General features: G+C 49.4%; 1 protein-coding gene across 2 annotated transcripts in view; it reads left to right on the top strand.

The window, feature by feature from the left end:
• The first annotated feature begins 7,701 nt into the window (after positions 1-7,701).
• Positions 7,702-15,633, top strand: part of SH3PXD2A (SH3 and PX domains 2A) — a 261,550-nt gene continuing 253,618 nt past the window's right edge. For both annotated transcript variants that reach the window (NM_014631.3, NM_001394015.1), the window contains exon 1: positions 7,702-8,083. In NM_014631.3, the coding sequence (NP_055446.2) occupies positions 8,012-8,083 (72 nt within the window). In that variant the 5' untranslated portion in view covers positions 7,702-8,011. The remainder of the gene's footprint in view (positions 8,084-15,633) is intronic.

Genomic DNA, 15,633 nt, shown 5'->3' with positions numbered 1-15,633 from the left:
CTCCCAGGTGACTGGGATTACAGGCACCCACCACCATGCCCAGCTAGTTTTTGTATTTTTAGTAGAGATGGGGTTTCACCATGTTGGTCAGGCTAGTCTCGAACTCCTGAGCTCAAGTGATCTGCGCGACTCAGCCTCCCAAAGGGTGGCATTACAGACGTGAGCCACTGCAGCCGGCTTATTGGCGCTTTTTGTACGGCAATGAGCAAAAGATTCAGAACTCTAAGAGTCAGATTTCATTTGAAAGGTTTTTCAATAATTATCTTTATGTCCTATTTCAGTCATTTATTCATTTAACAAACATTGAGTGAAAACTGGCTATGTGTCAGACATTGTTCTCAGCACTTGGGGGTGTGCCATGATGAGCAAACCAGGCCAACATCTATGTGCTTATAGAGTTTGCATTCTTAATGTTTTAGTAAAGTCATTAATTAATAATCAGACATTGTCTACATGGTTTCTTGGCTCTCCATCGACAAGATTTTTCTATTTCGATTCTAAGCTTCTGAGCAGTGGCCACCCCTCATGAGCTAGGCAAGATAGACAAATGGCCAAGAGTCTTGGCCCAAAAGACAGGGATTTTTCCAAGGGTCTCCTGACACAAATGGTCCAGTTCCTACCACAGTAAACAACACTCTTAAGTGGAAATGTAAAATCTTTCCTCACAAGCACCTCTCATCTCCAGGGAGTTTCCTTTTTTAAATTTATTTTAATTTTTAGAGATGAGATCTCACTGTGTTGCCCAGGCTAGAGTGCGGTGGCTATTCACAGGTGCGATGATAGCACACTACAGCTTCAACCTCTTGGGCTCAAGCAATCCTTGTGCCTCAGCCTTTGGAGTAGCTGGGAGTCCAGGTGTGTGTGACTGTGCCCTGCTCCAGGGAGTATTCTTGGAGTGTGCATGTGCAGGATGCTTTGTACTTGTAGACTGACCTGGACCATCAGCTCTGACCCCTGCCCCAAATAGCCCTTTAAATCAGCAGCAATCACCTCAGCTGCAAAGCCAATGTGCAAAAATGCATGGGCTAGTGCTGCTTACTTGGAAGGAGTGATTTGTTTTAAGTAAGTTCAAACCTATTAATATGCCTCCCAAGAAGTTAACTATTCAGAAAACTGATTCCTCTCCCCTGCAAAAAATACAAATAAAAAATGAAAAGCAACAACTCCAAAAATGCAGGAAACATCTCACCTCCATGAAAGTAAAAACAAACAAACAAAAACCCTTAAGATATCTTTTAAAAGACTTTGAAGCTATATTCATGTAAGTTACATCTATCTATGGTAAGCAAGTGAGTAACGTTATCCAGGTGTGAAAAACCATGAAGTAAAAAACGATTCAGAAAACATTGCTTTCAGTCCATGTAATAAATGCCTTATTTTACCTTGAAATTTAAGGAGAAACTCATTCTTAGATGCTAACCACACCCACCCACCCCATCCTAAGTCTTTGCATCCCCCAAAACTATAGCTCCTCCAGATAATCTCTCCTCCATGATTCCAACTCTCCTTGGACTGGCCAGCCTGGAGGATGGTAATGACTCACCAATACTGCTAATGTTTGCGTCATTGTCCCTTATTTATTCCCTTCCAGGCTCATGACTCTTGTCTTTGATATAGAAACCCTGTCTGATGAAGCATCATTTCAGAATTTTAAGTCAACTTACAAGTGTGCTATTATTCACATCTGAGCACAAATTTAGGACTACTATTATTTCTTGAGTACTATTATTTCTTGAGTATTTACAAAGATCACTATTGTTGTATAAGAACTGGTCTCAACATTAATTGGTAGCAATACATAATCCACTTTATCCAATAAAACCGTTTCAGTTTTCAAAAACAAATAAATAAATGCCTTACTTTAAGTGTACAGGAAGAGGCACACGCTTAACAGAACACTTATTTCTCCCAGGCTTCATTAAATTAATGCTGAATAAATATTTAAAGAATAGTAACTTGAAGGGGCCCCAATGTGGCCCTCATTCTTTGAATTGATTCCCTAAACAAATGTGTTGGTTTATGATCAAATTCACAGAACTCCAGCCCATGGTAATTGACTGGACAGGGTGGATGCATGACCCAAGCTGGGCCAATCAGATTCTTTTTCCCCAGCAAACTGGGGGAACTGGACTCCAGAGGCAGCCAGCGAGTCTTCAGGTGTGTCTGGAATTGAGAGATTGGTAGACACTTACGTGTTGTGGGGGCCTCCTGCTACATGAGTGAAGAAACGAGAAAAAGTCTGCAGTCAAAAAAGTAAATCAGGCACACAGTGCTAAGCAGAGATAAGGGATGAAGAAAATTATTATTGCTCATGTTCTTGAAGATTTGATACTTCGTGGTTCTACTATTTCAAGAAGCCAGGATGTGTGTGGATTCCATGAGACGCTACTATATATTGGAAATAAGCCCCCTCCCCGTTTCCAAGCTAGCTTAGCTCAATTTTTAGTATTTGTAAACCAACGAGTCTTAACTAAGACATACACTATTCATATGTTAGGAGGTAAGATCATAGCAATCTGCCTAGGGCAATACCTTGTTGATGACCATCCAAATCCCAGCCAGATTCACCCATGTAGGCAAAAGCCAGCCTGCTAAGGCTTTCTGTCTCTCACCTATTGGGTAAGAAAAGAACAAACTAGAGGGGTATCTTCTGCTTTAGATAGGGCAGGGCTTGAGCTGAAGCTGGACTTGACTTTGAGAGTCTTGAATCTTTCACCTGAAAGAGACGTGTGGATTCAAACAGGACAAAGAACAGTAATTTCTATGCCATTTCTGAATAGAGAATTGAAAAAAAAAAGACAGGATAAAACCAAAACCAGATTCATATTTTTGGTTATTTGTGGCTTCAGGCTATTTTTAAAGAAACTGCCTTTGAATTCCCCCTGGTATTTTTCTTTTCTATTCTTTTTGTCTTCCAGAGGCCAACTCAGGGTTTGCTGGATTCTGGAAAATCCAGGGGATTTTGAAAAAGAAAATCTGTGGTGGTTTATCACTAAAACAGAACTATACAGGCTGATCTTTTATACCCAGATGATGCTGGCAACCCCCTCCCAGCCAGGAATACACGTCAAGGTGTGTTCAATTGTTGAGATAGACTGTATGAAACCACCCACACTCGTTCCTGAAGGTCTTAAAACACAATGCACTAGTTTGGGGGCCAGATGTCTGGTCAGGGTTAGGGATGCAGCCTGGAGTTATGGAATAATATTGTTTTCCTCTGTGAATCTAATTATGCCCTTGGCCTCTTTGGCTGTGCAAGTTCCCGGATTTCCCTCTGGTATTCCAGGGCGTGACCACTTGCTAAGGCTGGAATTTCAAGTGGTTCTATCAAAACCTGCTGCTGCACACGGACCCTCACCGGAATCCAGGCTAAGACAGGAGAGTGAGACTCTCAAGGGACCGTGTAAAGAAGCATGTTGAGATTTTGCTGATGAACTTACTGTGCTGGGTGTCAGACGGAGGCGGCTTCCACCATCTGGTAGTTTGGCAACAGGAGGGGCCTGTTAGTATGGCTAAAATTCGTGAACAGTGGGGCTGGGTGGTAGGGCAGTTCTGGGGCCATATCCTGGTCCTGTTCCCCAGCAAGGAGAGGAGAAGCCTGACAAGCAATTTACTTCCCTGGGCAGTTGGCCTTGCTGTCTGCTCCACACTCCGGTGGGACCGTCCTCAAGACACTCCCCAAACATAAGTCAATAAATATATCAGGGCTGATTTGAGAGAGAAAGGGAGTGGGGGAGAAGAAAAAGGAGGAGGAGGATGAGAAGAAGCAGAGACAGAAGCATGAGCGCTGGACCGCTTACAGTCTGTAGAAGGGCAGGTTATTCGTCCCAGGCCCTCCTGCCTGTCCCTGTGGCAGGAGGTAAAAGTGCTAAAACCACTTTGGCCAGAAGAGGGCCCCAAATTTCACTCAAATTTACACAACTCGGGGAGAGTCTTGCTAGACCTCAGTTTATGTAAGTTATCCACCACTGTACAGCATGGAAAGGGCCAGAAAGAGCACCAGAGACCCAGACGTGGGAAAGAACTTCAAGGTCACAGGCTGGTTTGTGGTTAAGCCAGGAGTAGAACCCAGGTTGGGTAATTCCTGCTCTGAGACTCCAATTCTTCTTCTTCTTAGGCATTACTTAGCCCCAGCATTATCTACAAATATCTGCTGAGATCCCAGTAATTTAAAAAGACAACCATTTATTGAGGGCCTGGCATGTATAAAGCTCTGCGCTGGGTGGGCAGGTGTGTGTGGCAGGTGACAGAGGTGCTGGATGATGGGGGTGGGGAGGGAAAGGGTGGTGTCCATGTCTAAGTTCATGGTCCTCAAGGCCTTCAAAGGCTTCTTACTGGTTTAGAAGGCACAACCTAAAGCACAGGAAAGTTAAATAACAATAAAAGATATAAATAAGGTTCAATACAGTGAAGGCTGAGCTGTCATAGGGTGATGTATGATTAGTAAACAAATGTATGATTAGCAATTGTCATTCGATTTCTGAAGAGGAAGAGAAGGTTCTCTTGTGCTTTCATATAGCCCACTGTGGTTTCCAGTACTTTCCTGCATGTTGTCTTCTTTGGGGGTGGTCACAAAGACCCTACATGGGAGAGGAGGTAGGGCGGGTTCTGCTTTAGGGGAGCTGATGGAATTTGCACGTACACAGAGGACCATGGAGACACACACGGCCTCTGCTCTAGAGGATTGTACAGTCCTCTTTATTGGGAAGTCCAGGCATCACGAGTTCATATGCTTGTGTGAATGGAGAACTGGAACCAGGGACTCCAGGGTTTGAGTGAATGCAACATTCTAGACCTGCAGGTGTGCTAAGTGTGCCCTTTAAACAAGCTCTTCTTGCCCTAGTATAGGCACATAAATGTGGAGGGGAAAGACAGCGGGCTTTGGACTAACTGGCTATGTGGCATCAAGCAACTTGCTTAGTTTTTCTTGGCCTTGGTTTCTTCCTCTGTAAAATAAGAGAAATAAATAACCTCTCTTGTCCCTTCTAGTTGGAAAGTTCTTTGATTCTAAGCATTCTACAATTACCTGTTTTCGAAAATCAGATTTTCAGGTATCAGTTTGCATCTTTATGTTGGCTTCTCTTTCCCTTACTTATCCTAAACTTAAAAAAAAATTTGCAATTATATTTTGTCATTTTTAACTCACACAATGTCCTTAGGTTGGAGTCATCTCCAGTTCATGGGCGGAGGTGGCAAAATAGGGGTTTCTCTAATCCTTTCTAGCACTAGCTCTTTGAGCAGATGTTTTCAACACAGGCCATCCTATATACCTACTGTGTGCCACGCATAGTTGGGGTATTTAATGAATGATGCACAGTCCTTGTTTCCAAGGAAACTTCCCCCAGTCTCTGTCATTTTTGGGGGATTGCCAGGCACATGTGAGGCATTCAATAAATGTGTATTGAACAGAAAGGAATTCCCAAGGCACTGTGGGAAATAAATCTGCATGAGGTTGAAATGTACCCAGAGAAGAGATAGCCTGCACCATTTCATACTTAAATCCCCTTGGACATACGGCCCCAGTACAGAAAAGACATTTTTCTCCCACAGGTAGAAATAACTTCTGCCCAGATCTTGGCACCATGGGGTTGAGTGGGGAGCACTCAGTTGCTCCCTCCAATAAAGGTAATTACGGAACAAAGGGGGAAGTTGGGAGTATGCTCAAGTCAGGCTTAAAGGCCTGAATTTATAAAATGTCAAGTTGCAGGGAGTCTTTTAGGCAGGAGAAAGGCTACCACTTTGTAGGCCGCTAGGAAGTGGGGAAGAACTGGGCCCTCTCTCCTACAAATTTATTGTGCTTGGTGTGTTCATTGTGGATCTGGGTCCGAAAGAAGGGTAATAAGGAAACCACTAGTGCTGTTTTAGATGAGCTGACTGCTTTGATTCACAAGGGGACCCAAATCAAACTAAACCCCCTCCTCTTCTTCCCCCCACAACAGCTAAACACCAGCTCCCCTCGCTGGTGGCTTCTCAGGTTTTATTAGCACTTCCAGAAGACTTTGCCATCCACAGAAGACGAGTTATCCGAGAGCCATGATGAATCTCTTCCTCACAAACTCACAGGCTGTCTTGATCCATCATCAGAGAGGACCTGGAGCTGGCCAGCACCCTCCCAAGTTCGGGAGCTCAATATGGAGGGCCCGTTCCAGGTCTACCTCTCATCCCTTCAGGGAATAATCCTTGCTCATGGAGGTAGTGCCCTGTCCTCCCATTTTCCCATCAGCTGAGCAACATTACCAGGTGCACCTTCCCCCAGGACTCCTGCTCCAACATTCACAAAGGTTTTCTGTCATCTTCTCTGACCAAGAAGCTCTGGCCTGGTGCCAAGATCTCTCACAGTCTGAGCCCCCTAGGCCCATCCATCTTTTTTTTTCTTTGTCCCGTGCCATCGTTTGGTGTCCTAGCGCCCTTCCCCAGGAAGGTTGGAGGAATAGTGGGTTACTCTGTATGGAGCAAATATGTGAATAAATAAAGCCTTAGATCTGTGCCTGGGTTCTGACAGTCTAGAGAACGCGCAGAAGAAAGTATTAATGCAATTAGGTCACAAAATTATTTGTCCTCTTTTCAGATGTTTCACATTGGTCCACAGTCACAAAGCTTTATTGTGATTGTGTAACAACTGGAGTAGTTGTGAAAACACTACCCTTTAAATGTTTGAAAGCAGAATGGGAAAAAAATGTTGAACTAGAAGGGGGGAAGCTACATTGAATTAAGTAGTAACTGTGCTCCAAGTCCAGGGACCACGGACAAGTGGCTTGGAAAGTGGGTTTTCCAGACTAGAGGGAGGGGTGAGAATGCCAGAGCCTGGGGCTCACGGTGAGCTGGCCTCCAACCGGGTGGGTTTTCCCACCATTGTATGCTCCTTTCCCTGTCGCCAGCTTGGGGAGGGTCCCCAGGGGAGCCCTGGGCTTAAGGCAGTGGTGTTATGCAGAGTCTGTAACGTTGTCATTGGTAAATGATGCACAGGGTAGTTACACAAGCCCAGATCGATGGACGACTCAGGCAACGAATCGATCACTTTTCCGGGGAGAATTCACCCTTTATGACCTGCAGAGGGTCAGGTGGTTCGTCCAAAGAGGCTCTGGCTTGAAGGATTTAAAGCTGGCCTTTTCCCCATTCCCATCTCCTCCTCGGGGGCCTGGGCAGTAACAGCCGGGTAATAAACTACTTCTCATTAAAGAGATCTGGGGGTGGAAGTTGTAGGGGGACATAAAAGTGGGGACAAAAAGGCACAAATCCGCTCCGAGGCGGAAAGCCAGGATGGGGGCGCGCGGGGCTCACTTTCCCCGCTCCCTCTCCCCCCGAAGCCACCCTGAGTTTTTGTGCCTAGCGAACTAGCCCGGTGCTGCGCCAGGCCGCTGGCTGCGCGCTGGGCTCGGGTGGGGGCTCGTCGGCCCGCCCCTGCCACTGGGGCCGGGCTGCAGCCCCCTCCCCGTCGCCCCGAGCCCCTCCCCCGGCCCGGAGCCCCTCCCCGCGCGCTTCCCCTCTCTCCCCTCCCTCCCTTCCCTTCCCTGCCTGCCAGGCCCTGCCTCCGCCTCCTGCGCCCACAGCCTCCGCCAGCGCCGATCCCCCCGGAGCCCGAGCCGGAGAGCGGCGAAGGGGAGCCGCCGGCCCCTCCCCAGGACGCTGACAGCAGGCTCCGGGGCCCCCGCCCCGTCCCCTCGCCGACGGGACACACCCCCGCCCCTCCTCTGCTCCGCCAGTTCCCGCCGGACCCACCGGGCGGCGGAGAGAGCGAGCGGGCGAGCGCAGCGCGGCGGCCGCGCGGGAGTGAAGGGGCGCGCGGCAGGCCGGCGGGGAGTCCCCCGGGGCGCACGGAGCCCGCGCGCCCTCCGGGACCCTCCCCCGTCCCTGGGCCGGACCTGTGGGCGCCGGGAGTCCGGGCAGCGTTCGGCGCGCCGGGCCGGGGTGGCGGGCGGCCCCGGGACCCCGGCAGCTGGAGAAGGAGCCGGAGCCCGGCCGGGATGAGAAGGTGACGCCGCCGGGGGCGCCACTCGCTTTGTGGGGGAAGATGCTCGCCTACTGCGTGCAGGATGCCACCGTGGTGGACGTGGAGAAGCGGAGGAACCCCTCCAAGCACTACGTGAGTACAGCCCCCGCCGACCCTGCTGGGGGTGGCCCGAGGTCCCGGGAGGGCCCCGGATGGCCCCTTGCCCCTCCCAGCTGTGAGGTCGCGAAGCTAAGCGCCCACTGGGCAGCCAGCAGCCGTGGAGTTTCTTCGCAGGGCTGTGATCTCCAGGGAAGCCTCTTCTGTCCTTCCTCCTTCGCACCCCCGCCCCCCCGGTTTCTTTTTTTGGCATTGGAATTGGCAAGTGGCTGCCCTTGTCTGTTACAACGGTGAAGTCATCTGTCCGCCTTTGATGGATGGTGGGGGGAGCTTTCGTCAACCCCTCACAGAGCAGCCCCGTCGGGAAAGCGCATCTCCTCGGCCCTCCCCAGGGGCCCTGGGCGCTCACGCTCACACAGCCCGAGATGCTTTCAGAGCTCGCCCTGGAGAAGGAAGCCTCGCGCCCTGCCTCCCACGCCAGCTCTGTCTCTGCCTTCCTAGGCCTGGGGCTGGGGGCAGAAGGAAGCCGCCGCCCCCTTGCCCAACCTCCACCCTCCGCGCTAAGCTTTGATTTCCCTCATAAAGCCATTGTGTCCGTCGGTGTGAGGAGAATTGTGGCTTTTCCTTTTATCCCTCCTCTGGACGTGACCCTTAACCGGGTTCATTTCCTCTTAAGTGATGCTCCATCTCCAGACACGAGGAGGCGAATGTTTGCTGTGGTCTCCGAGGAACCGCCCCTCCCCCTTCCTCCCCCAAACTTTAATGAGAAGGGGTTAAGGTTGACTGGGGCAGCTCCAGAGCCTATGTGACAGTTCCCCTTTCATCTCAGCCGGTCCTGTCTTCCCATCCCTCACACCTTAGGAAGTAAACACGGTGTCCTTGACCCCTCTGAGCGTCTGTGCTCCTGTACTTGAGATAGAAGAGACCCAAGCACAGAGGACTGCATGTTATTTGCAAATTGGGTATTTAGAGGAGCAGTTCCAGTGCTCAAAGCATTAATCTTAACAGTTAAAACAGGCGCTGGTTGCTGCCCTGGATTGTACATTGATCTCTGAAGTGCCTTTTCTTCCACTGTTGCAAAGGGACTGGGGTTTGTGGCAATGTCAGCCTCGGGCTACTCTTTTTGCCTTTGTCACCAGTGTAGCTCTGAACTTTGAGTTTCTTTACAGCTGAGCAAATGCGGCTGGGCTCATATGGGGAGGAGGTAAATGTGGAGGCAGGTTGACTAGGCAGGGAGGTGGGTGCCTGTCGGGTCCAGTCCCTGACACCCTTAGAGAGTTGTTTCTTTTGTGTCATCTGGTCCAGCAAGCATTTTCTGCTGCTGTTACAAGAAAGCTCTTTTTGGAGGGCTTGGGTCACCAGGTGGTCAACCTGCTCTGTGGACAGATGTCCCTTTGTATATCCCAGGGTTTATTTTTCTCAAATGTTGCAGGCTAAGTTTTAAGGGTTCTCATTTGTAGTCCTCAGCTGAGCTTGGCACTGCATTCAACAGATGGCACTCTGCTCTGAGACCCAGGCAGGTGCGTTTCCAACTCTGGATTTTAAATGAAACATCACATTTCAGCTCCCACCGATGGTGCCCAAGGTTGCAGATGCAGGACACACTGGTAACAAACTAGAACCGGGGCCCACTGCAGACAGGATTGAAAGGCAAGATTGCGTGCTGGGGTTCTGAAGTTAGACGGTCTTGCTCAAAGCCTGGCATGCAGCCAGTAACTAGCTGTGCCACCTTGGCAAGTTATTTAAACCTCCCCCAGCCTCAGTTTACTCAATTTCAAGTAAGGATAATAATAGTATGTACTTGTTGGGAGAATTAAATGAGATCATCTATGTAAAGCACTTAGCCCAGTTCCTGGCACGCAGTAAGCTCTTATTAAATGGTAGCTTATTATTGGTGAGATTCTGACTAAGAAAGTATTTTTGAAAAGCAGCTATTAATGGTCTGGCAAAAAGGAAGAAAGATTTTGGGTTTTAAGATTGATAATAACTTGTTCTATGTGAAAAACACAAAAGAAGTCCTGTCCAGTTCCCTCGAAATGATCATTTCCTTCCTTTTTACAGACAAAGTGTTTCCCGGGACATCTCCGCTTCCCGAGTAAGAATCGATGACATTATGTTTGGGGGGGCAGGGAGTGATGTCACTGAACAGATGGGGCCATGCAGAGTTCTGAACTAGAGTTCTGGAAAACACTGAGAGGAGAAAGTGTTACATGTTGTGGAATTGTGGAACGGGCAGAGACCCGAAGACTCATCTGGCTCAACTCCTTCATTTTACAGATGAGGAAATGGAGAGCCAGATTGGGTAAAGTAACTTGCAACACAGCTGCTCACAGCTGGGTTTTTTTCATTGCATGTACCCTAAGTCCAGTTGGGTTTGGCTAAGAGGACAAATAACTGGTGGTCAAAAAGTTTCTACCCATTTGGGGCATTGTATATATTAATACATAACATAAGCATATCCAATAATTGAAAGGGGGAAAGAAAGCAATAGAAAGGGCCTGGTGGGACAGACAGGGGCAGGAGGAGCGGGTTTGGGGAGGCTGCAGCCTCTTCCTCTCCTGGCCCTTGCACGGTGAATACCACACACCAAAAGCTCAAGTGTTGTGAGTAAGGCCCTCTGGTGTGGTCAGCTGGCAGGACGTGCTGCACCCATTGCCTGTGTTCTGGAAACCCTCTACACTGGAGGAGCAAGCCTCCTTCCAGCCTTTCCTCTGCTGATGGTGAATTCTGAGTCTGTGGTTTGGTAAATTGCAGAGCAGAGAGGTTTTACGGGATGTGCGTGTTAGCCAGAGCTAGCCGATGAGAGGCCTGGGGCCCACGCAGGAGGAGCTCTGCTGGCTCCAGAGTGCTGGGAACACACTGCAAAGGTTCTCTCAGGACATTCTGCAAAGGGTTTGCTCATCCCCACGGGGAGGGGGAGCTGCCTGAACACGAAGGGTCCTGTGCTTTCGGTCAGTTCATGAAGGCACGCAAGTAGCTTCCATCATGGGGATGGCACTCAGCCCTGGCTTCCTTCTTCTCTGCCAGGCCCCTGCTTGGGGTGGGGTTGAGAAGGGCAGGCAGCTGCTACTAAGGTCAGGCTCCCTGGCATGAAGCTAGGCTCCTTTCCTGGCTTTCTGAGCTGTGCCTGGGGAGACCCTAGGTAAACTGGCTTTGGCCTCTGACCGCTTGTCTTGAAAATGGTCCTGATGATGCTGGATGCAGAATGCAGATTCCTTCGTTTGAAAGTTTTTCAGTAAAGATTTGAATTCAGGTCCACCGGGTTCTTTGTGCTCACAGGCAGGTATAGGTATATATCAATTCATGTGGTAGAGAAAAGCTCGTTTATCTAAAACAAACAAGAAATTGTATCTATTTGGATTTGGGAGGTATTGCACTTTCACAGTTGTTTTATTTCCTGATTGTTTATTTCAGACAAATACCAATCATGAATGTTCTGATCCTCTGCAGGACTCTTTGGGGAATGCAAATAATAGCCAGTTTAGCAGTTACCATCGATGGTGAAACATACTTAACACTCGTGTTTTCGTGTGATTCCTGCAGGTCATTGAATGTACCCTAATGTGGGGTAGGTTTTTGGATTCTGTTTTACAGATGAATTAACTGCAACTTGGAGCAATTCACCAACTTGCTTAGGGTCTCGCAGCTGGCACAGGGCAGAGCTAGGGCAATGCAGGTCAGGTTAGCTCCAAAGGAGGATGTGGATATAAGGTGGGGCCCTTCTCTTCAATTAGAATCCGGGCAGGAAGGCCAGGCTCAGCCCTGTTCCATGGTGACAGAGCAGTACAGGGTTGTCTTTAGGACTGCCTCACTGTAGAGACATCTACCATGTGCCCTGCAGGTGAGTTCATGGTGGGCAACGCAGGCGGGTCACTGTGAGGCAGGAGGAGTAGAGCAACTTCAGGCTGGTATCTGGTCCCCAGTAATGCTTAGGGTAATAAATTAAGGGTTGACCTTGTGGACATAATATATTCTTCCTCTGTTTAGATCATCCCAGATTTTATTCTTGGTCCTGGGAGCTACATGCTTAGGAATTGGCCCCAAACTCATTCATTTCTGTGCCCTTCTTTTTTTTTTTTTTTCTCAGCCCTTAGATTGTGACTCCAGCCCCACAGGAATGAGAATGTGCAGCCACAGCCTGCAAGGGTCTTTTTCAGGGCCAGTTCCATTATGGAATGAGTATGGTGTTGGGCAGATCAGTGCTTGAATCCTACCTGTGGCACTTCCTAGTTGTGCAACCTTGGGCTGTCACTCTGAGCCTCAGTCTCCTCACCTGTAACTTCACAGGGCTCTTGGGAAGTTGGCCTGAGATAATTTGGGGTAGTGTCTACCCAGTGCCTGACCTCACCATGGACATGCACCATATACTAGTTGCCATCTGCTGTTCCTGATCACCAAGGCACTGCAGGTGATTTAGGACCCAATCGGTCAATCTGAGAGAAAAGGAAAGACTGAGGCAAGAAGGACGGCCCAGCTTTTCACAGTCTGATGGGGAAGTGGGTTACACGCCCCATGGAAAACACCCAGCCTCCAAGAGGAACAGATAAACACAGAGCAGCTGTTCAGACCTGGAGGGGTTCCTGGAGCTGAGCATTGGGATCTGGTGGTGGCTTTCTGGTAAGCTGGGAAGAAACAGAGGTTAGGAGAGAAGGAAAGAGGTTGCTCTGGGTAAGGGCAAGGTCAAATAGGATCCTAGCCCCAAGGTCAGCACCACACATGGGTTAACACTCTTGCCTGCTCTCTCTGTCCCTCTGTCTCTCTTACACATGCACAAGCATGGGAACGGTTTCTTCTCTGGGGAGGGAAGTGATCGAGGGGTGATTCACGGGTCTGACAAGGCTCCCTGCTCATGGAACAACCAACCACACCCTTCAAGGCTGTTGGAACAGGGAGCACAGCCAGCCATTTATCGCAACCCTGTGTTGAGCTGAGTGAGGGCTTTTGGGGGGCAAACCAGGGTAGAAATTACCATGTGTGGTGGCAGGCAGAGGGGAAGGGAAGAGAAGGGAAAAATAAACCTATTTGATGTCAGAGGAGACCGATTCCAGCCCAGAAATACAAGCCCCAGCTGCTGCATTTTCCAAAGAGATATTCCGGGGCCAGCATGAGTTAACTGACCGTGGAGGCTATGAATTAGGGAAGTGTTGTTAGGACTTCTGACTTTGGGTTTGCACAGCAGTTCCCTGTAAATTGCCTTCTAATTGCCTCAGCCTGAGTCACTGACCAGACTATTTCTTGGCCAGAAAAAGTCTAATGGGCAACTGTGTTCTCTTTTACCTCTTAATTAAACAAAATGAAACAAATAATAGAGTTATACACATGGTAGTCCCACTTACTCCTCTCGAGTTCTGAGAATCCAGGAAAGGGATAGTAGATTAGGATAGGGACCCAGGGGACAGGAAGGACAAGGGGTGTGTGTGGGAAATGAGGTGGAGATTCTGGCTTTGGAAATAGGTTCTGAGTGAGGGCCAGAGGTGTTCTCTGCCATGACAATTGCCAAAAATAATGGAAGCGCCCAATAGAGTGATCAGGGCTTCCAGAGGCGGATTCCCAGAGCAGCGTGCTACTTCCTGCCTGGCCCGGGCTTCTGCTGCCTGTAGTGCAGCCAGTCACAGGTGGGCAGGTGAATGGAAGGTCAGGAGCCTAGCTGTGAAGGGGATGGGGGTCACATGAGGATCCCTCTTGTGCCTCTGGGTAACCCCCAGGCAAGTCACCATATCAGCCGCAGAGACTGAGCCCCTGCTGTGTGCATGGTGCCGGTCAGAGTCCAGCAAGGCTGTCCAGACCCCATAAGAAGGGGGAGAACTAACATACAAGCACCTACTATGTGCCAGGCAATGCAGAAGATGCCTTTAGAGGCGATTTTACTTGAACCTCATAACAACCCCATGCGGTTAGGTAGGTGTTTTTATTCCCATTTTATAGATGGGGAAATTGAAGCTCGGAGGGTTCGTATCATTCTACTCAGAGTAATTCTGTGGCAGGGCTGGGATTCTCACCCTGGTCTCTGACACCCACATCTGTGAGTGCCACTTCTTCCCCATCAGAGCTGGCTTGGTGAGAGAGAAAATAACCAGTGAGTCCAGGCAGCACCACCTGGGGATGAGGGGTGCACCTGGGAGGCTGTGTTGTCCCAGAGCACCTGTGTGCCGTATCCCTTGGCTGAGCATTGGGATATCCTGGCCCCACCACTCGCTGCCGTGGGATACAGTGCAAGTTACTTATGTCTCTGAGCCTCAGTTTCCTCATCAGTAAAAAAAAAAAAAAAAAAAAAAAAAAAAAGAATATATGGGGAAAGTTGGACCTAGCTCTTAGGGTTATGATGAAGATGAAATGAGTTTGTAATTGTAAAGAGCTTAGACCGGTACCTGGCGCCTTATGGAGCTCAGCATAAGTATTTGCTTTCACAATCACTAAGTCCTGAAGCTGTTCAGAGGAGGGAGAGCACTCTGTGAACTGGAGTTTCCAGGGAAGACCGACTGGAGAAGGCAGCTTCATGATGGACCTTGAGGTGTAATTAGGATTTGGCTGGGAAAGAGTAGGATTTAGATGGGAAAACTGGGGAAGGGCATTCCAAGAAAGAGAAAAGCAAAGGTGCTGGAGGTGGAACGTGCAAGGAAAAGCTGGGCAAAGCCGAGGGTGGATGAGGGAGAGAAGGATGACAGGAAAGCTCAGGGCCAGCTCTGAGAGGCTCCGATGGCAGCAGAGGGAATTCAGTTTATTCTGTAGACACCTTGGAACCTTCCTTTTCTCCCAAGGGCTTGGCAGGGAGAGGGAGCTAAATAGTCACTTTGAGGTCCTCCCGGTGGGCTCCAGCGCTGTTTTTGCGACTGTGCCTGGAACAGAGCTAAGTAAGGACTGGAACCTTTTTCTAGCTCTGCCTGGGGGACTCTTTAGTTGGCCAGCTGGGTCCCACCCCTCCTGTTTACAGCTCTCACTCCTAGGGGTCTGGCTTCCCCATAAAAAGTTGATTGCACCCAGGCTCCTGGGGAGGAAGGGTTGAGGAGGAGGAGGAGGAGGAGAGGGAGCAGCAGGAAGTGAGGTGTCAGCTGCTTTGGGTCTTAACTAGCTTGGGAGGGCCTGATGCAGCAGCGTTTCAGGTGGAGTAATTTCCATCCACACTCCCCCAGTGGCAAGAGCGAGAATGCGCCCATCCTCGTAGGTTCTGGGGGCCAATACCTCACAGTCTGAGGGGAGCCCAGCATGTCTGTGTCTTCTGAACCATCTACACTAATGTTGCCTTCTACTTCAGGATCTCTCTGAACTTGTTTTAGTTGGTTTTTTTTTTTTTTGAGTTGGGGTCTCGCTCTGTCACCCAGGCTGGAGTGCAGTGGTGCGATCTCGGTTCACTGCAGCCTCCGCCTCCCGGGTTCAAGCGATTCTCGTGCCTTAGCCTCCCAAGTAGCTGGGATTACAGGCATGCACCACCACACGCAGCTAATTTTTGTATTCTTAGTAGAGGTGGGGTTTTGCCATGTTGGCCAGGCTGGTCTCGAACTCCTGACCTCAGGTGATCCACTCGCCTCAGCCTCCCAAAGTGCTGGGATTACAAGTGTGACCCGCTGCGCCTGGCCTGAACTTGTTTT

Source organism: Homo sapiens, chromosome 10, assembly GCF_000001405.40.
Source record: "Homo sapiens chromosome 10, GRCh38.p14 Primary Assembly".
Lineage (NCBI taxonomy): Eukaryota > Metazoa > Chordata > Mammalia > Primates > Hominidae > Homo > Homo sapiens.
The sequence above is the reverse complement of the archived record's forward strand: the minus strand, read 5'-3'. Positions and strand labels throughout refer to the sequence as shown.